Here is a 27,109-nt window from a genome sequence, read left to right as displayed (position 1 = left end):
TGGAAACTTTATACAAACTGACGGCTACCCAGTCTGCTCTCTTTGGCCACATAAACACAACAATGCTTCCATACACTGGGGTATACTCTAATCTTCACTAGTGATCAAGTGCGGAGTTTGTCACCTGTTATTTTTATTTAGTTAGTTTGTCTGTTTATTTATTTTTGAGAGAGAGTCTTGCTCTGTCACCCAGGCTGGAGTGCGTCATCTTGGCTCACTGCAACCTCCGCCTCCTGGGTTCAAGTGATTCTCCTGCCTCAGCCTCCTGAGTAGCTGAGATTACAGGTGCACGCCACCACGCCTGACTAAGTTTTGTATTTTAGTAGAGACGGGGGTTCACCCTGTTGGTCAGGCTGGTCTTAAGCTTCCGACCTCAAATGACCCGCCTGCCCCGGCCTCGCCAAGTGCTGGGATCACAGGCGTGAGCCACTGCACCCAGCCCCCGCTACCTTTTAAACATGTGACATGCAAATATTACATGTTTTAGTTCTCATCACCAACCCTACATTTCCACATTCCCGTCCAAGGTGGGGAAATGAAACAGTAAAAGTGCTATTGATTTTTTTTTTTTAAAAAGATGTTTTACAAAGTAATCTTTTAAAAAAGTTTTTTATTTTTAGTTTTTATGGGTATATATAGTAGATGTACCTATTTATGGGGTTACAAAGTAATCTTAACCACCGGCATGGCCTGCCTCCCACAAAGCTGGACAACATAGTATGGAGACACACGTAACCAAAGCGATCTGTTTCGAGGCATGAATGATAAATATATAAGGCATAGTTTCCAGAAATAAAAACCTATTTTCTTTTCTCTTCATGTTTACCAAGTAGATAAGCAGTTCCCAAAGAACAGCGTCTCCTGCCCACCACCCACTGGCTCTTCCCGCCAGCATAAAATGTTTTAGCATTCTTTTGAGTGTATATGATTCTTTATAACTTTAATTCCTCTCCATAACATTCTCTTCTACCCTGTGCCTTACCAAGAACAGAACATAGGCTGAGGAACAAGAAGGTCTGATGGCTCCTTGAGCAGTCTTTTTTTTTTTCTCCCCAAGTAGACCGTTCTAGGTATAAGTCATATGCCCTTGACTAGGAAGATGAAACTAACCAGTTACATAACCTGAACCATGGGTCACTTGTATTATCCCTTTTTCAGGGGCAAAGGAACAAATACTGAAAAGCTCACTGCTTGCCTCTCGAGGCCCACACAGAGGGAGCCAGAGATTATCAAGTCAGCAGTAAGATTTCAGGAGTCCCTAAGGATCATGCCTGTGAAAGCCAGACACAGAAAGAGAAAAAGGTGTGGCTGGGCACAGGGATAAAAGGCTTTGGTTTTCTTCTGCCCAAACTATAATATAGTGTTCTCCCATCCTGGCTTTCTCAAATTTGCCCTTCTCTTCAAAAAAGAAACCCGTCTCAGGTATCTAAAAAGGGTGAACTTTTGTCTTCATTTCAGCAGGCAACACTGAAAATCCAACAGATTTTATAGAGCAATCAGTCCATAGGTAATGTTTTTCTAAAGAAACCACTCTCCTCCATCCTGGAAATGGATCAACATTGGGTCCCGATCTTGTTTCCAGGACTATGCCATTTCATTACTGAATCAAATGTCAACATTTGTCGGGATTCATTAAAAAGATTTCCAAATGAAAATGATAAAACACACTATACTTCAAAGACTTAAGCTTCTGGTCATGATGTATCAAACTAACATTCCCACTAAAAAAAATACTGAATTAACTAAAAAACACACTTGTTTGAAGTTCTCTTAGAGCAACCAAGCAAGGCAACACTAGATGGGTCAAGACCTCAGGGAGAAAGGAAATGCATTAAGGTGAGCCTTGTGTTTGCTGCTGCCTTTTCCTTTCAGGGCATTTGATAATTTCTAGTACGAGGCACAGACACCAAGCAGCAATTGGTAGCGGCCTAGAGCTTTACGCAGTATCACCAGCTGGGGAGAAAATCAAAATTCAAGGCAGCTAGTGCGTGAGAAGAGCTAAAGTCCCAGAAAAAAAGGGGGCTGCATGGAAATGAGCTCATAAAAGTGATCTCATAGAAGCCTGGGTCACTTCTGTGTAGTCCCTTTCCTCTAGGACTCTGGCTCTTCAAGTCCTGGCCTCCTTGAACTCCAACATTTCCACTTGAGGTATTTACCAGATATTAAGCTGTGTTTATATGGGACGAGGAGTTGAGAAAACAAGTAGAAAGAAACTGTTTAGAGGCTCAAAAGCAAAGCAGAGGGTTTGGCAGTCTCACAGTGCTGAGGAGCTAAAAAATCGAGTACAGAGTCCACCAAGGAAGAGGGGCTCTTGTAAACATTCCAGACTTTTATGGTTTTTTATTTTTCTAAGATTTTTAAAATTAAAAAAAATTTTTTGAGACAAGTTCTTGCTTTGTTGCCCAGCATAGAGCGCAGTGGTGCAATCATAGCTCACTGCAGCCTCAACCTCCCAGGCTCAAGCAATCCTCCTACCTCAGCCTCCTGAGGAGCTGGGACTAAAGGCATGAGCCACCAGCCTGGCTAATTTTTTAATTTTTATTTTTGTAGAGACAGGGTCTCTTTATGTTTCCCAGGCCAGTCCTGAACTCCTAGGCTCAGGCAATCCTCCCACCTTGGCCTCTCAAAGTGCTGAATTTATAGATGTGAGCCGCTGTGCCCAGCATCCTAGACTTTTAGCTGAAAGGGCTAAACTCTAGGAGAAAGGGAAAACCATAAACAGATAAGCCTTAATACATCCTTAAACCCTGCCTAACCTGGAACAAAAAGAAAAAGGTGATTTGGCCATATTTTGTCTGCCTTACAGAAGAACATTGAATCTAGTCTGGAAGGAGATAACAGTATCTAGAACTTTTTTCTTAATGTCCAGAATTTCATAAATAGAAAATTAGCAGTCTTGCCAGGAAATAAAACCAAACAAGGAAAAATCAAGGGAACAAACAGGTAGTGGAAATAGACCCATAGGTGATCCAGATAGCAAAGTTATCAGATATGGTCTTTGAATCCAGCCTTATATAAAAAGAATAATAAAGCACAAGTTGAACTTGTTCCAGGGATATGAGGTTAGTTTAACATTTAAAAGTCATTTAATATGGCAGACACATAACATTATAAAGGAGAAAAATTATATGATTGTCCCAAAATTAAAAAAAAACATTTGATAAATCCATGCCCATTCCTAATGTTAAAAAACTCTTAGAATACTAGAAATAGAGAAGAATTTCCTTTATCTACTGAAGAGTTATCTACAAAAATATTTAGAGCAATCATCATTCTTAATGATGAAATATTAAATCTTTACCTGAGATTTAAAAATCTGATGGAAATCTGAACAATTTCAACATTGTACTGGACGTCCCAGCCAGCACAATAAAGCAAGAAAAAGAGAAATAAAAAATAGAATTGAAAAGGAAAAAATAAAACTAGTATTTATAGATTATATTCACAGAAATTCCAAAAGGCCATGCAGAAAAACTATTCGAATTAACATGTAAATTTGCAAGGTTGCTGGATACAAATTAAAATCAATGGTATGCTATATGTGAGCAAAAACCAATTTGGCACTGAATTTTTAAAAAACTATTAATACCATTTACAACAGCATCAGAAACTTCAATACCTAAAATTAATCTAATAAAAATGTTCAAGACATACAAAAAACTATATTACTGAGAGTTATTAAAGAAGGCCTAAGTAAATACCACTTTCTTGAACTGAAATCCTCATTATCGATGAGATGTAAATCCTTCCCAAATTGATCTCTAGATTTAGTGCAATTCCAATCAGAAGCCCAGCAAGTTTGTTTTTATTTTTTGTGGAAACAAACTGATTTTAAAATTTACATGGGAATGTGAAGGGCCATTAATAGCCAAGAAAGTCTCAAGAACAATTTTGAGGTTACACATCAGATATCAAGCCTTATTATAAAACTGAAGGAATTAAGACAGTGGAGTATTGGTGCAAGAAGAGAAAAATTAACCCAGGGAACAGAAGATCCAAAAAATGGACTCACACATATATAGTCACCTAATTTATGAGAAAGTTGCCACTAAAGCACATGAGAAAAAGATAGTATTTTCAATAAATGGTACAGGGTCAATTAGGTTTTCTATTCTTACACATCTGGTCTATGTGACCTACTTCAGTGGTTCGCCCTGTGGTCTCAACAATCTCCTACTGTAGTTTAGCTCATTCTGCTGAGCTCAAAACTTCTACATCTCACATCGTCTCGGGTACTCATACCATGACTCAAACGTGCAAATCTGAACTCTGCTTATTCCTGTGTTCCCGATCTCTGTGAATGGTTCAGAGTGCAGTATCAAACTAAAAATTCTGGAAAATGTGTTTTTACCCTTTTCTCTCCTGGGACAATTATATTCTGTCTGTAAAATAGGTAAGATTTTGTGAATTCTGTCAAAAATTAAAGCAATAGTTCAGTCTGGGATTGTTCCTGGAGACTCCAACAGCAGCCTCCTGTGCTTGCCTGAGGAAATCTTCCTGTTTTAGTAAGGAGGGAGGGATGAAGGGGGAAGAAAAGAATATATGTTTATTACCACTGAACTACACACTTAAAAATAGTAAAGATGGTAAATTTTATATGTAGCTTTAACTTCAATAAAAATGTATTAAAAACATGAAAACCAAAATTAGCCAGGCATGGTGGCGGGCGCCTGTAGTCCCAGCTACTCGGGAGGCTGAGGCAAGAGAATGGCTTGAACCCAGGAGGTGGAGCTTGCAGTGAGCCGAGATCGCACCACTGCACTCCAGCATGGGCAACAGAGCGAGACTCTGCCTCAAAAACGAACAAACAAACAAAAAACAAAAACATGGAAACCAACTACAGAGCAGCATTTCCCTCCTTGATTTTAAGATGCATTTCTTCAAAGCCTAAGGATTCTGAAGTTACGATGAATATATAAACCAAACTCTAAAATCAAATGACAAAAAACATCCTTGCCTATTTCTAAACAGAGGAGTAACCTGGGATATTGCTTAAATGGAACATAAATTTTAAATTTGGTAATTCTTCAAATGTCTCCCAAAAGATTGTACCATGATAGAACATGGAGAAGAAAAGTTATCATACACACAGAATATAGACCATCACTGCCGAGCAATGCAAATGCCAAAACACAGAGAGCAGAACACGGAATTTCAAAACTAGCAGAGACAAGTGTGGCCGATCTTCATGGACCAAACAGGACCACGGTTCAGATATTGAACGTGTCTGTTAAAATTTCTGGTTGGCTTTCAAGAGATGCTCTTTGACTTCTAGGTATACAAAATTCAATTACAACAGTAAAAGTATGCCTTTAACCAAGTAAAAAACGTAGAAGAAAATGATATTCTCTAAAGACCTCAAAATGTCACTATTCATATAAAGGTGCTACAGAACAAAGATCATGAGTGCATGTTGTGAAAAGCATGTACTCATGATGCTACCATAGGTGACTATGAAAGGTCAGAAGTCATTCAGAGCAGTCTATACTCCCGGTGTGAAGTCAGCTTAGTATGCATGCAATACAGAAAAAATAGTAAAGAAGTAAACTGACAAATATATAATACTTTTGTGTAAATTTATTCCAATCTTTCTTCCCTTCTATTCCCCTCCTCTAGAAAAACTGTTAATAGATCAGTGGTTGGTCAAGAGATCAACAAAGTTTTGCAAAGGTTTTCTGTAGGAAGGCCTTAGACATCAAAGTACCAGAGTCTGAATTCTAACAGACACAGATCTTCACTACCTATGAAAACATTTGCCATTCAAACAGAAGCATTCTTGGGGTGTCTGCTTCAAACCTAAGGACATGGAGGTGTGAGGATGTGTCATAAGGAGGTTGCTTACCTCTTTCCGGTACTTCGTCTTTATCTTGAGACTGTACCCACATAATTGAAGTGACTTTTAGGAAGCATAGCAGACAATAGTTTAGGAATTATTTGGTCTTGGCAAAATTCGTATGTGCCATACTTTGTTCTCTCAAGGATAACATGCCTGCCCTGTCTATCTGATAAGGTCATGGTAAAACCCTAATGAGAAAATATAAGAGAAGGCCTTTTCCAAACTGTAACTACTATATGAATGCAATTTTTTTTACCTGCATCATCACAAGGACACAATGATTTATAACACCAAATTTTAATACCAAAGTCATCTTTTAAACACCATGCAATACCATGAAGTAAACTTCTAAAAATAAATAAAGCGCAAAGGCATCATGTGTTACTCAAGCTTAATGATGCAGACTATTGTTGCAGCCTGATGGGTTCTTCTTGCCCACTGCCCAGAAAAGCCAATGCACTGAAAACAGCAGGTATTACAGCAAAGAAAGAGGTCAATAATCATAGGACCAGCCAACTAGTACGACAGGAGGTATTTCTCAAATATGCCTCCCCGAGAATTTGGAGGCTAGAGTTTTTAGGGTACTTTGACAGGCAGGGAGCTGGGGAACTGAAATCACTGACTGACCGAGGATGAAATCACAGGGGTGTCTAAAACTGTCTTCACATAGCTGAGTCAGTTCCTAGGAAGGAATCTCAGGACCAGGTGGTATCTCGTGGTCTGCTGAAATGCTAACTCTGAAAAATATCTCAAAGACAAGTTCTTTAGCTTTCACAATAGTGATGTTATCTATAGGTGTAGTTGGGGAAGTCATACACTTTGTGAACCCCAGTTACATGATTCTGGGGCAGTCAGCAACTTATAGACAAGTAAGCTGATCAATGGCAAGTCACTGTTTATGCCTATTCTTTAGCAAAGCTTGACCCCCTTCCATAATTCTAACCTTGTGACCTCTTTACAAATATAGTTTCAATTTTTAAACATGAAGGGGATCCATTCAAGGAAAGGACCACTATGGCCTCTGCACAAGAATGAGCAAGAGCAATTTAGCCAAGTAGAAGCAAGATGGAGTCAGTTAAGTCAGATTTCCCTTGCCAATGTAATTTTTGCAAAAACTGTTTCCCTATTAGGTTGCTGATTCCATTCTAATCTATGAGTTGCTTCAATCAAATCTTCCATGACTTAGACTCCATCTAAGGGCTTATTCTCAACTTTTGAGTAAAGTATCAAGTGTTTGCTTGTTCTTACTAAAAGTACCGTCTATTCAAGTAGCCACCTTTTTTCTTTTTAAACTTACCTGGTCCCGTCATTTCTTTTCAGTCAAAGGAACATGTTTGTGCAGAGTTCACAGCAAAAGCCCATCTTGCAAGAATCTTCCCTGACCCTCCCTGGGTCAGGCTTCCTAACTGTCTTTAATATCAGAAGGCTGACACACAACTTCTGCCACCCCAGCTGAGTGTGTGACTCAGCATTTAAAACCCTGACTCTGTTTTTAATTTTTCAAGGAGGTCAACTATTTTGCAACACAAACCCTTGTTAAATGGAGTTAATCCATCAACTACTACAAATTTCACTTAAACACAGATTAGACAAATACATTTCTTCACAAGCCTGGAGAATTGTTTTCAGCCAAGACACCCCAAGATGGTACAGATGGGGAGATCAAACCTTCCCCCGAAAGGAGTCCTGCAGCTGAATCTGGAGGCCTCTGGAAGAACGCTAGGAGGCGGCAGGAGGCCTGGGCTCCTGGCCCACAGATAAGAAAAGAAAATCTCTTCCTGGCCAAACTGGAGCCCTTCAAAAGCATGAAACTCTCCCAGTTCTCCCAGAATTTCCCCTTTCCTATGCACAACAACGAAACACATGCAGGTGCCAAATGCTCCCATCCTAGAAGGCAAAGAAACTACAACTCTCCGCTTTGATAGAGAGTCATCAAAGGTTGGGACCATTCAGGATTTTATTTTCCAAACTCACTGCTGGCCTCGAGGAAGTATGACACCACCATCCTAAGCACAGGGCAGCTGTTCTTTTTTGGCTGGAGTTCAGTATAAACCTTACAAATGTTCTGCTAACTTTCTCTCTCTCTTTTTTAAAACAAATAACAATTTTTTTAAATGCCAGTCACTTAACTCCCAGCCTAGGGTTTTCACTGTAAAGGTTTTCCTGCAGGACGGAGAAAAACATATATTCCCAATATATTTCTGAGCCAAAAAGATACCAGTAGGTTATTCTAACCAGAGAAACATAATGAAATAAATAATTAGGCAGACTGAAAATCAATGGCTAAAACAGTTCCAAAGAGTCAGTGAATACCAATTATCTCTGAAGTATCAACAGACAAAAATCTAGCAACAAAAAATGTACTTTTCAAAAGAGGCCCTCAGTAGTATAGCCACTGAATATATTTTTATTTAGGAGTGAGAATCAGATATCAGAAAACTTCCCTTTTGTTCCAAAATTGTGACCCATTATAAAGATACCACAATGGATGTATTTTACTCATTATTTAGCTCTCCTAGCTATGAATTACCTACAACTATCAGCATGTATGTTCATACCATGAAATGTCCCAAAGCATGGCATCTGTCCTTCCTCCTTCTGTGTTTCCCCATTACAGACCTAAATATGCACAAGGGCTGGATGCTGGCGGTGCTTTCAAAACAAAAATGAACCTTTCACGGACAAATTAATGTTGCTTATGAGTTCAGGTGTGTGTATTTGTGACAGACCCACACACAGATCAATACATTCAGGAAAAACCAAAGTCATTCTTAAGCCTTTGGAAATTCTTGGGAAATCAATAGACTCACAAGACCAAAAGTGGGAACCTGGACTTGGTTTATAAAACCAAATCTGACAAATCCCTTACGGAGTCTGGAAGCATGGAGTTCCCTCCCCCATATGTTCACTTCCCTTCATTTTTATCCTTGTAGCTGCCATATAATTGCCAGACCGTCATATCACCTGCTTAATTTCCACCTTGTACACACTAAGAGCTACACGGTAACACTATTCTACTATGCATAAAGGCCTTGATTCTCACTGACTTACTAAACTGACCCCTAAATACTAAGCAAAATTCGAGGTCATTGGCTTCTGTGTATTGGCTTCTTCTGTACTAACGACTATAAAACTTCATCCCTCAGCCCTTCCAGTCCTCCAGCAATTGTTCCATGGAAGTTTTTCTGTATTGCTAGGCAGCTCCATGCACATGCTTCACTGCAGTTCTTTTGTAAAATGGTCTGGCCTTGTTTTAGGAAACGAGAGTAATACAGACATGGAAAAAGTCTACTGCTCCCTTGTATCCAAGTGATAAAAAAAAAAAATACATCACACACAAGCTTACTCAAAGATACATGTGTGTATGTGTATCTTATGTGCACAAATACACTGCCTTGTATTCACTGGAATTATTATCACTTACAAGCATCATATACTTTTAATGTATGAATTTATTTTAGCCACTCTCACCTATCATTCAAAATGAGGACTAATCAATAGTGGGAACATTTTAACCCTAATAAATTATGGAGTTATCTGATCACAAAAGATGCTTATAATAAATACATTCACTAGCTTTCTTAGGAAAAGATAGCTATTTGGAAAATCAAATAGCAAAAGATCTCACCAGCTAAACACTCCCATTTACAACACCCACCTCATCGTACTCACATGCTGCCCCTGAACTCCAGGTCACCCTGCACAGACATAGCTGGGGTTATTGTCATGACAAAAGGTGGGAAACAGGGGCCAGCCCCACCTTTGGGGCTTTCTCGAGCCTTCATACCTGTGCTGATGCTCCTGTAAGACTTGATAAATGCTGATAAGAAAAGTTTGGTTTTTAAAACTCCCCATAACACAGTCCTTGTAGATGCGGAATTCTGCAGCCGTCACCACCTCACCCTCAGGAATCTGGGATAAGTTGAACTTGAACTCTTTGTGGTGTCGCTGACGAGGGGAGAACTCCTTGTCGTACTCCACTATAAGATTAAACAAGAGAGAGTGACAACTATTGTTACTTGACTAAGTGCCACGGGCTTACCTCACCAGTTTCCCCGTTTGACTTCATAGGTGGATTACCAATTACCCACGGCTTACTACGGGGATCGGGTAGTGAACAGACCACTGGCTGGCCCATGAGGAGGAGATGAAAATCCTTCATGTTACCCAAGATGAAGCAAAATTCTTAGATTTTATTTAGTTTAAATACTTCTGCTTATATACTTATTTGAATGAATTTGCATGAGAGCAAGTTATGAAAACTCTTGCGTTAAAGTTTTCTCATCTGCAAAAATGGGAAGAGTATGACTTCACAGAAAAAGGTGTGAGAATTAATGAAGCAATGAAGAAGAACCCGTCCGCCCATCCTGGCCCCGTTATGTCCTCCTGGCCCCCTCTCCTCCCGGCTACTCTTCCCTCCTCAGGCTGGTTCACGTGTCACCATCAGCAGTTGACATAACCAAGGGCAGCCCTGAGCTGAACATTGGTGGGGATGGCTGCGGGTGGGGAAGGGGGGTGGGCAAAGCATTTTGCCTGGGCCTGAAGTGTAAAGGGTCTTCACATTTTGCCTGTTCAGTGGAAATATTTATGCCTTCCTCCTACTGGTAGAACCTGAAGGCTCCACGACTCTGAGCAGTGGGGGACTCTCCACACTGGGAAGTTGCTGGAACCCCCATTTAATCTGCATGTAGATGCCACAAAGATGTGGAAGGAAATCACCAACAGAGCAGAGCCACTGCTATTTTCTCATGGTTTACATTGAAAAAAAAAAAAAACTGGGGGGAAAGGATAGAATCTAAAAGGTTTTTTAATATGGAATCAACCTATTGTGCACTGAAAGATGAATGAAGAAAACGTGGTATGTGCATAAATGCATTTGTATTTGGTCTTAAAAAAGGGAGAGCTTCTGCCACTTGCAACATGGATGAACCTGGAGGATGTTATGTGAAGTGAAATAAGCAAAGCATAGAAAGACAATCACTGCACGACCTCACTCATATGCAGAATCTAAAAAAGTGGAACTCACAGAAGCAGAAAATAGAATGGAGGTTACCAGGAACTGGGACAATCTCACCACAAAAAAAATAAAGCCGTGTCTCTGTGAGGTGATAAACACATTAATTAGCTTGATAGTGGTAATCATGTCATAATGTATATGTATTAGTATATCAAATCACGTTGTACCCCTTAAATACATACAATATTTGTCAATTACACCACAATGAAGCTAGAAAAAATACGTTTTTAAAATAAAATCTTTTTCCCGCATGAAGACAAATGAGAAATTGCAATTACTGATGATTTTTCAGTCAGATTTTAGGTGTCTATACAAAGTCCTGTGTGAGAAAAGTGATATCAAACTTCAGATGCCTCACTTATAATTGCTGTAAAAGGAAAAAAGGAGTGCTCTGTTTCCCACCATAAACCCTTGACTCTTTTCCCCAGAGTCAAGAAACACTTCTGCCTTGCTGTTCCTGTTCGTTTTTCCTTAATGGCAACCAAAGTGAAATCTCATGAGCAAATTAATCCTTATAGCAGAGTTTTCCCAAGGTTTGTGGGTAGAAAAAATATCAAATTATTAGCCACCTCCAACTTCCCACTTTCTCTTACACATGTTGTTTTTCATAATTACCAGAGAAAAGCTTTGGAGATTTAGCTTCTTAAAAAAAAAAAAAAGAAAGAAAAGAAAAGAAAAAAAAGAGCTAACTCCCCAGAAGAATCTAAGTCCTCAATGGCATTTGCAGAAGCTAAGTTAAGCCATCTATAGGTACAAGATTTTTTAAAAAGAATTTCTGAAACTGCCATGTAATTACACAACACATTTTTTAGATTCGAGTTCTTTTTTTTTTTTATTTTGAGGGTTAAAAAAGAATAAGCTTTGGCTTCTGTAAAAGCTTGAATATAAGCAAGAAGAAGTCCAACCAGAAAAGTAAACCACAGTTTAGCCCCAACAAGAGAGCAGGTTTTCTAATTAGTGGCTACGCATGAAAAGCAATATTGTTGGGAAGTTCACTCAAGGACACCCACACAGGACGGTGTATCACTTTTCCCTAAAACCGATCTGCCTTTTAAGTTTGATATGTTATCATCGTTGGTTAAAAAGTGAATCAAATCTGATTTTCCAAAGAGACTTTCTAAAAAACAGTCACACAGCTTTTCTCTATAGAGCTTTTTGGAGGCCTAATTGTAATATTACTAAATGAAAATAATATTTTAAGATTCGCTGGAGAGCATGTGTAAGAATTCTTCAAAGAAGTCTTTCAATAAACTTCCTTAGAAAAAATATAAGAAATAAGACATAAGACAGTAACTTTAAGATATTTCAGTTATAAGGAGCAGAGAAACAGACATTTTTAACAAAGGAGAAATGTGGTAGCTGGTCTTCTGAGAGGTATGCCATTCCCAATAAACCACATCTCCCAGCATCTATGCCCGTGGGTGGTCTGCTCCCTTCGGGTGGCTCTGAGCTGGCTCTGTGGCTGGCTGTATGACCTGTTTTGGACCAACAGAACGAAAGTCTTCAACAGTGGTGCTGAGTGACTTCCAAGGCTGGGTCATAAGCTTTGAACTTCCTTCCACTTAGACTTCTTGGAATGCTTGTCTGAGGAAAGACAGCTGTCATCTAAGAAGTGTGACTACCCTGAAACTTCCATGTTGTGAGGAAGCCCAAGCTAGCCATGTAGAGAAGCTACACAGAGGGGTGGGAGAGGAGAACAGAGATGGGGGTGGGTGGGAGAAGAGAGAGACAGAACACACAAACTGTCCAGCCTGTCCCCAAGCACCTCAGCTGAGGCACCAGAAGTGTTATGAAGATGCCATCTTGGATGTCCTTTGCATGACTCAGCCCCAGCCACCACCTGGTTGCAGCTGCACAAGAGGCCTTGAAAGAACCACCTAGTTGAACCTGGTCATTCCACAAGACTGTGAGAGATGGTAACTCGTTGTTGTTTTAAACCACTATGTTTTGGGGGATTTGTCACACGGTAATAGGCAACTAACACAACAAGGGAAAGGGGGATGGGAGGAAAAGAGGAGGGAGGAGAGAAAAGGGAAGTCTGACCATGCCAGGAAGGGGATAAATTGCATGTAACTTTTAAGGATAAGTGTTGTGCAATGCTGGGAGCCCATATGTACGACTAAGGAAGAATCTTGGCAAATGCTCACAGATTTGAAGATGTGAGGAGATAAAAAATCTAAAAATGAGAAAACAGAAGCACAGTTCAAAGCATTCCTTTTATTACAATGTAAAATAGAACCCATTGCCTCATATGTGGATTTTCCAATTTTTCCTCTACCAAAACAACAATATCATGAAGTACTCTGAACTTTCTTTTCCTTTATCCTTCTTAGAAAAGATGCACGGCTTCCTTAGTGTCATCCACGAGCCTCTGATTGCCACCCACAACCTTTTAAACTCTCACGCCCATCCCATTACCGTCTGGTCTTCTAAGCTGCTCCTGTGCCTTTTACCTCAAAGCTGTACCACCTTCCTCACTCTCCTCATCATACCTCAGCCACTGATCACTGAAGTTTGCTCAGAACTCCTCCGTTCCCCCCACTCTTTTGCCTGCGATTGAATGTACACAGTTTGTTTGCTAATGTCTCATAGGGATATAAGAAATAAATACAATTAGGTTACTGCCTGTATGTGCACCTGAACGCCACAATGGTAAAACAGTAATGTTTCCAATGAGCGCAGCAATTCAAGCTATATGAGTCAAGACTCCTCAAATGCCAGACAGTTCAAGAAATATGAATGGGAGAGAAAGGGAGAGGGCTGAGTTCCAAATTCAGCCCTCAGTACCTACTTTATACCCATTAGCATTTGGCTTACTGATGATGGGGCCAGATGCAGTCACAATTAAGTCGTAGTTAAGAGTGTTGGTGACATGTCAAACTGAGACGCTGGTGTTGAATTCTAGCTTTTTTCTTACCTATATGATGCTGAGTTAAATAATAAAGTTTCAGTATCAGGTAAATTGAAATAATAACATTTCTAAAGATTAGGTGACACAATCTATACAAAATAGCCAAAGCCACGGAGTCAATACCCAATCAATGTTAGCTGTGATAATCATTGGCTGTTATTTGAGAATCCAGGTCCTCGGAGCTTGGAGTATGTCTTTGCTGAGTAATTCAAATTTATTCACGAGTCTACAGATAGGACTGACGGCTGCTCCCTCTAAATTAGCTTTTTCAATTCGAGTGAGGCATTCTGTGAAAGGCCAGTAAGCAAAATCTCACTGAGCATCAGCCTTGGTGGCTGGCTCCTGAATGCGGCGCTGTGTTCTCTGAGGCAATAATTCCTAGAATTTTTAAATTTCAAGGACCAGTCAAGACAGTTTTTGAAATGATAATGACCTTACACAAGGCTATCTGCTTCTTCTGCTTGCCATTGTTAAGGACAATAAAAACAAAACAACAAACTGCATGCTCTAACTCTACCACTGCATTTCTAAAAGTCTTTTTAATACTAAATAAAATAGGGAAGACATACTGAACAAACGAAGCTTTATAAAACTCACTTCCTTCTCTCCTTTCTGCCTCAGACCATCCCAGTGGAAATTTCTCACCTGTCCTAGACCTTTGGCCAACACATAGGAACAAAAGCCTTAAGGAATAAAAGTCACTGGTTTAAGATTTAAAATGTAAATTATGTAATTATACATACAAAAGGATGTATGCAATTTACGGAGGTAATGAAGCATAATAGTAAAGCACCAAGGAAACCATCACCCAACCTGAAAACCAGAAAGTGACTGAGACTGTTGTATTCTTTCCTGATCCTCTTCAACTGCTTCTCTCCAAAGGTACCTCACATCAGGAATAATGTTTATCACTCCCCTGCCCTTTAAAACCTAACAATTCTACTGCATGTGTGTATCACTAAATCATACACTGTTCGGTTCTCCTCCTTTCCTTTCCTTTTTAGAGACATGATGAAGTTGTACAGGCAGGCTCACATGGAAAATGTAGGCCTGGTTATGGTTAAGAGCAAGGCAGCCTGTGTGGAGGGTCGTCTGCCTGTCAGCGGGTGAATGGCTCATGTATCATAGGTGGGCATGGCCGCTGTGCAGGCAATGGTGACCAGTAACTCCTCTCCTTCTTCAGCCCTACTTCATAGAGATGTATTAAAAGTATGGGCATTTTCTGACAAGTGTTGATAAAGATTTAGAGAAACTAGAACCCTTGTGCTTTGCTGATGGGAATGCAAAATGGTGCAGCACTGTAGCAAATAGTGTGGCAATTCCTCAAACAAACATAAAATTAGCATTGATCCAGCAATTATCTTTCTGGATATATATGCAAAAGCATTAAAAGCAGGGCCTTGAACGGATATTTGTACACTCATGTTCATGGCAGCATTATTCACAATAGCCAAAAGCTGGAAGCAACCCACATGTCCACTGACGGATGAATGGGTAAACACAATGTGGTACAGACCTATGATGGAATACTCTTCAACCTTAAAACGGAAGGAAATTCTGACACATGGTACCACATGAACCCCGAGGACATTGTGTGAAGTGAAATGTGCCACCCACAAAAGGACAAATACTGTATAATTCCACTTATATGAGGTAGCAAGCCTAGTCAAATCCATAGAGATAGAAAGGAGAATGGTATACCAGGGGCTATGGGAGAGGGGAATGGGAAGTTCAGGTTTAGTAAGTACCCAAATAGTCAGCTTGGGAAGAAGAAAAAGTTCTGGAGAGGAAGTGGTGATAGTGGCACAATCAATGTGAATGTCCTTAATGCCACTGAACCGTACACTTAAAAACTGTTAAAGCAGCCAGGTGCAGTGGCATTGCCTGTAGTCCCGGCCCCTTGGGAGGCCAAGGCAGGAGGACTGCTTGAGCCCAGGAGTGTGAGGCTGCAATGAGCTATGATTACACCACTGCGCTCCAGCCTGGGCAACAGAGTGAGACCCTGTCTCTGTAAAATAATAATAAAATTGTTAAAGTGATCAGATTTCCTCAAATATCTAAAAAACTGTCTAAATTTTGTGTGTTGAAATCAGGAGCCAGTGTTCACTCATGACACTTGATTATTCTACCTCTTAAGTCTCTTTTAAACTAGCAAACCAGGCATAGAAAGAACTCCATTAACCTGATAATGAGTGTATATTAAAAAGATCCCTACAGCTAAGGACAGTCTTTTTTTTTTTTTTTTTTTTTGAGACAGAGTCTCGCTCTGTCACCCAGGCTGGAGTGCAGTGGCGCGATCTCGGCTCACTGCAAACTCCACCTCCCGGGTTGACGCCATTCTCCTGCCTCAGCCTCCCGAGTAGCTGGGACTCCAGGCGCCTGCCACCACGCCAGGCTAATTTTTTGTATTTTTAGTAGAGACGAGGTTTCACCGTATTAGCCAGGATGGTCTCGATCTCCTGACCTCGTGATCCACCCGCCTCGGCCTCCCAAAGTGCTGGGATTACAGGCGTGAGCCACCGCGCCCAGCCAGCTAAGGACATTCTTAATGGTGATACATTCACATCACTGCCTTTAAAATCAGGAGAGCGGCAAGGACTCTGACTTTCAGTCTGATGTTGGAGTCCAGTTCGGTACTATTAAGATTAAATAATAGGAAAAGAAGAGACACATTGCAAAGCATTGGACCTAATGAGAAAGTTTAGAGGGTTGCTTTCATATATTTACTATTTGGAATTTTTATGTGTGAGTTCGTAAGTGAGACTGGCGATGTTCTCATTTCCTATGGCATTGTGTGGTTTCAAGTTATACAATTTTCCCCTCTTATCCGAGGGGGATACCTTCCAAGGGCCCCAATGGATGCCTGAAACCGTGAATAGTGCCAACCCTATATGCACTATGTTTCTTCCTATACGTGCATACCTAGGAAAATAAATTTAAATTTATAAATTAGGCATAGTAAGATTAATGATAATAAAACAAATACAACAATATACTATAATAAAAGTTATATGAAGATGGTCTCTCTCTCTTTTTCAAAATATCTTACTATACTATACTCAACTGTTTTCAGACCTCAAGAGCAAACTGTGGAAACCGAAACTGTGGATACGGAAACCGTGGATAAGGGGGAACTACTGCACTTTCTCTTGGAATAAGCTGGGGAGCCTTTCAGCTCCTTCTTTTCAAGAAGTAATATACTTCCTGAAAATCTGGCAGACTTATCTGTAGAGTCATTTGATTCTGGTGTTTTCTTTTGGGGGACATTTTAAATTACTCATTTTCCTTTAAACATAGAAATATTGAACCTATTTCTTTTTAAGTCTGTTTTCTAGAGGTCTGTCCATTTTTAATTTTTCAAGTTTATTGCCATAATTTGTTTTAAATTTTATTTTATTTTATTTCAATACTTTTGGGGGAACAAGTCGTGTTTGGTTATATGGGTAAGTTTTTTAGTGGTGGGTTCGGAGATTTTGGTGCACCCATCGCCCAAGCAGTGTACACTGAACCCAATATGTGGTCTTTTATGCCTAAGCCCCCCTCAGTCTTCCCCCGAGTCCTCAAAGTCCATTGTGTCATTCTTTGACTTTGCATCCTCATAGCTTAGCTCCCACTTATAAGTGAGAACATACAATATTTGGTTTTCCATTCCTGAGTCACTTCACTTAGAATAATGGTCTCCAACCCCATCCAGGTTGCAGCGAACTATTACCATAACATTTTTCATAGAATCCTCTCATTATTTCATCTCTGCTCTATCTATGGTTGTTTCTCCTTTTTCATCCGAATTTGTACGTTCACTTTTCCTTGATCTTACTAAAGATTTTTCTTTTTTTCTCACTACTGCTTTGTTTGATGCTAATAAAGATATTTTAATATATATCTTTTCTGAATGGTATCTAAGTCTGAATTATTTCAATTAAAATTGTCCAGAGAAAAACAAAGACACTGCCTATCTCAAACTACAAACACAAAAGATAAAATAAAAAGGGGAACAACAGAGAGGAAAAAGAACAGAGCAATCGATTTAACATATTTACTTTAAAAGTAATCACATATTCATTATTCTCTCACTAACTGGACTTACTCTCTGGTTAATTTAGTCTAGATTAGTTAAGGCAATTACAATAATTCCCAATAAATCCTACATTTTCCAAATATTTCACGTTTCCATTTACAGTTACACACCAAACTTGAAATTTTTTTTGAAACATGGTCATTCCATTGACTAATGTAAGCAATTTTTCATTCTATGGCACAAGCTTATTTAATTTTAGGCAACAAGGACATTTCTGGCTGGACTTCCAAGGGTTGTAACGACAGCGGCCTTTTGACTTTCATGTTGCAAGCATATAACCTTGAATTGTAATACAAAGACTGAGCTAAACTTTCCAATTCACTTTTGACCAAGGTGAAACAAAAGACTTTACCCTCCAGGGTTCATCAAATATTTCTAAGTATTTGTATTCATATTCTATAAGAATCACAAATATCAAGAATAATCTATTTTTTCTGGTTGCCATGCTCCAAATGACATTTTTAAACTTTATTTTGTGTTGTAAATAATTAAAGTCCCACAAGTAGTTGAAAAAACAGTAGAGAAGCCCCATGCACCCTTCACCCAGCTTCCCCCCATAGTAACATTTTACATAACTGAAGTACAAGATCAAAACCAGGAAACTGACATTGGCTCAATACATTTACTAGACCACACCCACTCTGATTTCACCAGTTTTCACAAGCACTGTTTGAGTACGTATGTGTATTATTCTATGACCCCTTATCACATGTATAGATCCATGTTACCACCACCCAAATCCAGATCCAGAAATCCTCCGTTGCCACAATAAAACTCTCTGGGGCTACCCTTTTATTCCAAATGACTTTTTAAGAAGATATCCAGTACATGTATCGTAAAGAGCTTTAGGACACTAGGCACCTACATATTATTAGCACAAAGGGTTAATAGTCATTTTTTTTTAAAAAAAAAATCATGTTAAAACCATTTTCATACCCAAATATAGGTATTAATTTCACTTTAAACTGGGGAGATAGGCCGGGCGCAGTGGCTCACACGGGTAATTCCAGCACTTTGGGAGGCCGTGGGCAGATCACCTGAGGTCAGGAGTTTGAGACCGGCCTGGCCAACACGGGGAAACCTTGCCTCTATTAAAAATACAAAAGTTAGTCAGAAGGGCTTGGTGGCACATGCCTGTAGTCCCGGCTACTCGCGAGGCTGAGGCAGGAGAATAGCTTGAACCCGGGAGGCAGAGGTTGCAGGGAGCCGAGATCACGCCACTGCACTCCAGCCTGGGTGACAGAGCAAGACTCCATCTCAAAAAAAGAAAAAAAAAAATTGGGGAGATGCTCAGTAGCTACCACTATACATGTCTCATTATGGAAATTAGTAGTGGACCTTGGCTTCTATGAGAGCACACTCAGGCACTTCAGTCAATAAACATGCGTTGGGAAGAAAGATTTCAAATGAATGATCACAGCCTTGATAGAGTTCCATTAATGTCAAATAACCGCATTTTTGCCCCCTTACAAGGGCTGCCTTAAAGAAGCAATCAGACCACATTTAGTAAAAATCAATCTACACAACATGCCTTTTTTCACACTTGAGAAAAACTGCTACATCTCCAGTCAAAACACAGATAGGCCAGCTTAAAGAGAGAACAAAAGATCCTCCCACACCTGATTTCCACTGCAGAGGAACAACAGGCACAATATCCTCCACTTGACTAAGAACAACTCTCAGCCTGTATTCATTCCTTCAGACTCAGCATTCCTGGCCGGGCACGGTGGCTCACGCCTCTAATCTCAGCACTTTGGGCGGATCACAAGGTCAGGAGATCGAGACCATCCTGGCTAACCCCATCTCTACTAAAAATACAAAAAATTAGCCGGGCCTGGTGGCGGGTGTCTGTAGTCCCAGCTACTCGGGAGGCTGAGGCAGGAGAATGGCGTGAACCCGGGAGGCGGAGCTGGCAGTGAGCCGAGATGGTGCCACTGCACTCCAGCCTGGGTGACAGAGCAAGACTCCGTCTCAAAAACAAACAAACAAACAAAGCATTCCTTCCCGGGTGATCTGGGTTCTGTGGTCCCATTGACAATGCCATTGTCTTCTGGTACACTGCATTTGCTACAGTGTTTTGTGCCTACTTGTGTGTTTCTTTTTATTCATTCTGCCCGGCTCAGATGCCGTCGTAGTTCATCTGTCTGTGGGTTCCTAGCTCCCATCAGTCCTGGAAAATTCTCAGCCAGTCACTCATCAATTATGGCCTCTCTGCCATTTGTTTTAGAGTTTCCTTCAAAAATGACAATTAGGTATATATTAGACTTTCTAATGTCCACATCTCTTAGCTACTGATTTTACACCATTTATCTCCCGATCTCTGGACTAGATTTAGGTAATATCTTCTATTTACACATTTACCAGTTCTCTCCTTCACTGTTTAATGTGCAGTTTAAATAATCTATTAGTGAGTTTTGTTTATTTGTTCTTATTTTTTTTGGGTTGGCACCTCGCTATTTTGCCCAGGCTGGTCTCGAACTCCTGGGCTCAAGTGATCCTACCTCAGCCTCCCAAGTAGCTAGGACTACATGTCACCAGGTGCATGTCACCACACCCTAGTTTTTCCACCTCAATGATTTTAAAAAAAAAAAATTCAAATTGCTCCCTTTTTGTTTGGTTTGTGCTGTCATTTTCAATGGTAAATTGTCATATATTTACTATTATTTATTATACTATCATTCTTTCTGTATTTCTATATTATTGTCTTGCATTTTCTAACTTGGTGCCTGTTCTCCAATATGTGAAATTCTTGGGGGACTGAAATTACTCTCCCGTCACTCTGATGATTCACTCTGATGATACACATTTTGGTGGTGTATTTCCTTGTGTGTTTGAAGATTTTTGATTTTTTGGTAGTTTTTAATTGAAATTCATCCTGAATATTTAAATTGGGTTACTTTTTTTTCCTAAAAAAAAAAAAAAAAAAAAGCATTTGTTCTTGTGAGGAACACCACCAGCCAGAACCACTTTCTCTCCCTTTGACAGTCCCGGCTTAATGTGGGAACCTCAGGGACAGCTCCCCACTACCCTGTCCCAGACCCCAAGCTGGTCTCAGGATCAGCGCTAGTGTTGGTCTTTGCATTCACAGAAACCCAACTTTTATGTTTGTTTGCTCATGGAAACTCCCACAGGGGAGTCCTGAAAGCTGTCCCTGAGCCCGTGACACTCATACTTTAGGCAAGTTTGCTTTTGTTTATCCTGGATCTTGTCGTTTTTTAGCAGGAGGCCCTGCAGATGATCTACTCTGCAATACTTCCAGAATTTGAAGTCTTTATCTTTCATGTTTGGAAAATAACATGTGGGACACATTCCTCTCACTCCTAAAGACGTTATAAACTCTGCCTAATGTCTGAAGAGTTTACAAAGCATTTTCATGCACGTAATCCCATCTGAATTTTTCAGAACAGTCCCAGAAGGTAGGCAGAGCAAATATTATGACCACCATCAAATCAACAGGAATCTGAGGCCAAAAGCAGTGAAGTGGCTTCCCTGTGCTACTCAGTTTTATGATCTCACCTATCATAGTTAACAGTGAAAGCTCTCAAATTTCTATCTCCAGCCCAGCGTTCTCCAAAGAGGCTTGCGTTTCTTACTGCTGGGCATACTTCTTCCCCCAGATGTCTCTCGCACTTGGAGCCAACATGCACACAGTGGTACTCATCTTTCCCCCCTCTACAATTAACCTGCCCCTCTGTCTCTAGCTCTGTCTACCCTGCCACCCTAAATTGCCCAATTAATCATCAACTCTTGTTGCTTTTACTTTCTAGAACTATACTGTCCAATATAGAAGCTACAGGCACGGGGAGCTATTTAAATTTAAATAAATTAAAATGTAAAATTTGGTTCCTGTCACATCAGTCACGTTGAAAGTGTTCAAGAGTCACAAGTGTCTGGTGGCTCCTGTATTGGAGAGCACACCGTTGGATGCTTCCATCATCTCAGAGAGTTCTACTGGACAGCATCATTCTAGAAGTGTCTCAAACCCAGTGGGTCCCACTCCCTTCACTACCACTGCCCTCATGCAGAGCCTCAGTCCCACTGCCTCGCATTTTGCCCCATGTCCATCCACTCTCTCCACACTGCAGCTAGTACCAGGGCCACAAGTCTGACTTGTAACAGGCCTGCCAAGAGCCCTTCAGCCTGTACCCCACAGCCACCTCCCACCCTCGTCCCTCACCCTTTTCCACCTTAAACTCTACCTTTGAAGGTCTTAAATTGCTCTATTTGTCCCACCACACTGCCCAGGATCTCGTGACTTCGCCTTCCTCATACAATATACTTGCCCTGGAAGTGAGCTTTCCTTCTCTTACTTCCTGGATTGAGACTGTTACAGAACCCAAATTTTGAAAAGGCTTGGTGCCCCTACGTCATCCTAGATAATTAAAGCCATAAAACAAGGGTAGGTACATCAGTGTTCTTATATCTAATTATTAATGCTTTGGTGCAAAATAACAAACAAACTCTTCGTAAGCATGTTTTCACTCAGTTTTAACAGTTCCTGTTTTGCTGCTCCTCTAACCACCTACTTGCAATACGCAATGGGTAATTGTCTTAGTCCATTTGGGCTGCTGTAACAAAATATAGACTAGGTGGCTCACAAACAACACAAATGTATTTCTCACAGTTCTAGGGGCTGGAAGTCTAAGACCAAGGTGCTGATGAGGGCCTCTTCCCTGGTTCATAGATGGCTGTCTTCTCGCTGTGCCCTCACATGGTGGAAGCAGTGAGGCAGCTCTCTGGGGTCTCTTTAATAAGGGCACTAATCTCATTCATGAGGGCTTAATCACCTCCCAAAGGCCCCACCTCCTAATACCATCACCTTGGGGGTTAGGTTTCAAGATATGAATTTGCAGGGGCGTGGAAACAAACATTCGGTCTATTGCAGTAATTCAGCAATATTTTAAATCTTCCTTTAAGATTGAATCCAGGAAGCTTTCCTTAGTTGCCTTCTTCCACCAAACCTCACCCCCAGGTAGTTTTAGTACCCTCAACTCTAGACCTCTATAAGGTCCCATGAAGATCTTCAGCATCAAACCCCTACCTTATACCAAAACGATCAGCTGTTTGCGTGTCTACCTTAACCTGCTGGGCTGCAAGCCTCTCAAAGGCAGGGTCCATGTCATGTTCACCTTCATATATCCCATAGAAGGCTTAGTACATGGTGCCCAAGAATGTGTGTTGAATGCACGTGTGAGCCAGGGCTGGGTCCTGCTTCGTGCTCTTTCCTGAGCTCTGCAGTATCCTCCATGGGCATAAGGAGGCAGAACAGAACTCAGGCTTCTGACCCCACCCCCAGTGGTCTTTCCCCAGGACCCAGGAACAGTTCTCCAAGATGCAAACAGCTAAGCTGGAGAACCTGCTGAACACATCTGTCTGGGTTTGTTGTTTTAAGCAGCAGCACTATTGGCCCAGAATACTCATCCACATACTGCTTTGCATTCTAAATTCAGGATGCAAACTTCAAGCACGTTAAATTTTAAGAAGCCAAGGAAGGAAATTAATCTACTCAAATTACTTCAATTATACTCAAGCCACATCACAAGGTCACCATGCATAGGAAAGTCAGGCCAGATTTCTAAATTGCATCCTTAATTCAAAGCAATAGACCCCTAACACATTCCTTCCTTTATCTTTCATTCTTTTCAATTGAGGTAAAATTTACATAACATAAAATTCACCATTTTGAAGTGGACAATTCAGTGGCGTTTTAGTACATGCATAATGTTGTGCATCCACTACCTCTAAATGATTCCAAAACATTTTCATCGCCTCTACACAAAGCCCATGAAGCAAAAGCTCCCCATTTCCTCCTCCCCCGCGGCCTTGGTAACAACCATCATTCTGTGTTCTGCCTCTCTGGATCTGCCTATTTTGGATATTTCACATGAAAACAATCACACAACATGTGATCCTTTGTGACTGGCTTCATTTAGCATCATGTTTTCAAGGTGCATCCATGTTGTAGCGTGTGTCTGCACTCCATCCTTATTTATGGCTGAATGACATTCCATTGTATGGATACATGCCACATTTTGTTTATCCATTCATCCATCGATGGACATTTGGACTCTTTCCACCTTTTGGCTATTGTGAATAGTGCTTCTATGAACATGCATGTACTTGTATGTGAGTACGTGTTTTCAGTTCTTTGGGGCATATACCTCTTCCATTCTCTTTTGCTCTTCCTCTTTGATAAGGTTTGGCTGTGTCCCCACCCAAATCTCATCTTGAACTGTAGCTCCCATAATCCCCATGTGTTGTGGGAGGTACCTGGTGGGAGACAGTTGAATCGTGGGGGTGGGTTTTCCCGTGCTGTTCTTGTGATAGTGAATAAGTCTCATGAGATCTGATGATTTCATAAAGGGCATTTCCCCTGCACATGCTCTTTCTTGATTGCCGCCATATAAGGTGTACCTCTGTCTTCCATCATGATTGTGAGACCTCCCCAGTCATGTGGAACTGTGAGTCCATTAAACCTCTTTTTCTTTGTAAATTATCCAGCCTTGGGTATTTCTTCACAGCAATTTGAAAATGGACTAATACACTCTCCATCTCTCCTTCTCAGCCATTGATTCCTCAGAGGTCATTCTGGAGGGGCTGAGGATGGTCCATCAGAGCTCATTTACGGCCCACCCCAAACACAAGGGGATTAGCTAAACACCCTCACCCCAAGGCTATGTAGGACCTCTGAGCAGAAAGAGGCTGGGGAAATCAGTGAATACTGAGTGATAAGCCCAGCACAGCACCTGGCACATAGTAGGCTCACAATGAATATTTGCTGAGTCTGAGCAGAAACAAGGTTTAATCCAGGGGAGTCACAGAGAGACTAAGAGAAGGAGAAATAGACAGAGGTTGTAGACTGATGAGAGTCAAAAGAAAAAAGGATACCTCAGAGGTCAGCACTGTAGGAAGAGGAGCACGGATATGAGAGAGAGGAGAGAGTGAGCTCACATGAGAGAGAGGGGGGGTGCTCTTGCCAAAAGAAATCCTGAAAAAGTTGAAAAGTGATGAGCCCTAGTCAAATGGTGATTGGCTCTTTTCTGAAAGTCAGGAGTCTGATATGAAGAGAACACAGGACCGTCAGGCTGAAGATGTGAGATCAAAAGGCAGCAATGTCTCTTTTTAGCTGCATCAAATGACTTATTTTCAGTCCCTTGAAGCTTCTACAGAGTGGCCATAAAATCTGGAAACAAAGACAAGAGTATCTTACTGTATACTGGAATGTAGTATCAATAACCCATTTATTGTGGGTTTGCCCATGTTTCCGGATTTGGTGACCAACCTCCCTCTGCTTGTGGCGTAGTAACATCTACATATGAAGAGGCGGGAGGCAAAGAAGACCCTGTGACCAAAATGCTCTGCAGACGCCCAACAGTGCTACATGGCACCAGATGGTGCATTTTTATTTGAGACAGTGTCTCCCTCTGTTGCCGAGGCTGGAGTGCAGTGGTGCAATCACAGATCACTGCAGCCTCGACCTCCTGGGCCCAAGCAATCCTCCTGCCTTGGCCTCCTGAGTAGCTAGGACTACAGGCAAACACTGCCATGCATAGCTAATGTTTTTTATTTTTTTGTAAAGATGGGGTCCCACTACATTGCCTAGGCTGGTCTTGAACTCCCAGCCTCAAGCAACCCTCCTGACTCAGCCTCCCAAAGTGCTGGGGTTACAGGTGTGAGCCACTGTGCCTGGCTAACTGCAGTCTTTTTAAGAGCCTTACTTATCAGGATCCCTACCATCAAGGTTTTTCTTCATATACACCCTTACCTGGCCAATAAATTTTCCTGCTCCCATCAACATTTCTGGAGGGAGGTAGGGAAGGAAGGAAGGAAAGACAGAGAGAGAGAGAAGACATACATAAAAAATCCACAAAATGGAAAATCATTCCTTGAAAAATTGAGAGTCAAACTCCACTGGGCAACAGTTTCTCTCATGGGGTGGCAGCTTAAATAAACACTAAATCCTGCCTTTCTCCACAGTGGACTTCTGACCATGACGATGGGGCTATTTGGTTTAAGGAAATGTTCAAGTTTTGAAAGTTAAAAGTAACTGAGAGGCCAATTCCTTGCTTTGGTTCCCCGGGTTACTGGGGATTCATATTCCTATTAAATTATACCGCATCAGATGACCTATTATTCGCGGCACAGCACCACTGTGCCAAGCCCTGGGACACGGGGAGAGTCTTTTCTCATGGTTCCGTCCAACCTCTGGTCCGCGTGATGGGCCCAGGCTGGCCTGAGCCCTGGGCAGCCGTGGTCAGAACATGTCCCTAATCGGGGGCATCTGCACATGGCTGTCCCTCTTCACCTCAACAACACCGAAACGGTAGCCAGTGAGAAAGAAAACAGGCATGCTCCTGCTGAGGGCTAAACTCCCCTCCAATGTATGCCCCACAAGGGAAGGCAAGGAGTTTTGTTTTGTTGCGTCATGCAGTCCAAGTGCTCGAAACAGTACCTGCACATAGCAGGTGTCCAGTATATGTCTGTTGAATGAGGGAGCCACCCATCCGGACCTGAAGGAGCCACACTTCTCAAGAGCTGGCTGGCCTGGCCTGGAAGCAGCAAGGGACAGACACTTGAATCTTTCCTTGGTTTAGAACCAAGACCTCAGTTCTAAACCACCATGTGATCACAGATGCTGAGCTGTGTGCAGGACATGTGTCTAAATGCCCAGGGGTTCTAAACAAGAGAATGGAAAAATACCACCGCAGGGTGCACGAACATCTCTGAGCACAGCCGTGCGCTCTGAACACACAAACAGAACAGGGCCATTCCTTTCCTTTAATAGACAAAACTTGGATCCCCACGTCCTTGCAAAAACACAACAAAATGCTTCTCCCAGGACTGTTCTTGGAGAATATCTTTCCTTTTCTGGGGCAACCAGCCCTCCTGGTCCCTTCTGAGCAACAGCTGTGCTGGTGTGTTCAGCCCTATTTGATTGTAAATGTCTATCTGAATAGGCAATGCTTCCTAAATGACCAAAAACAAGCAAGCTAACAAAAAATTCACCAGGCTCAAGCATTTGAATGTATGATTTAGAAACAAAACAAAACAAAAACAGAAAACACCTGTAAGAAACTTAAAAAAGAGTGGGAAAAATAGTGCCTTATCACTCCCATCTTTCTGTTCTTAAAAAATATAAATCACATAACTTCTGTGTTAACTAAATAATCCCTACCTGAACGCTGTCATTTGTCAGGCAGTTTTATGTATAAGACCCAAATTGACGCCAATCTACCAAGGTGCTTTTGGGTGCTTTTACTCACAGAT

General features: G+C 41.2%; 1 protein-coding gene across 1 annotated transcript in view; it reads right to left on the bottom strand.

Annotated features, from left to right (window-relative positions):
- The window catches only part of BMP6 (bone morphogenetic protein 6), a 155,630-nt gene that overhangs the window by 26,773 nt on the left and 101,748 nt on the right, over nucleotides 1-27,109 (bottom strand). Inside the window, exon 2 of the mRNA NM_001718.6 lies at nucleotides 9,624-9,816. Coding sequence (NP_001709.1) covers nucleotides 9,624-9,816 — 193 coding nt within the window. The remainder of the gene's footprint in view (nucleotides 1-9,623; nucleotides 9,817-27,109) is intronic.

This window comes from Homo sapiens, chromosome 6, assembly GCF_000001405.40.
Source record: "Homo sapiens chromosome 6, GRCh38.p14 Primary Assembly".
Lineage (NCBI taxonomy): Eukaryota > Metazoa > Chordata > Mammalia > Primates > Hominidae > Homo > Homo sapiens.
This window is presented reverse-complemented; position numbering and strand designations above follow the sequence as displayed.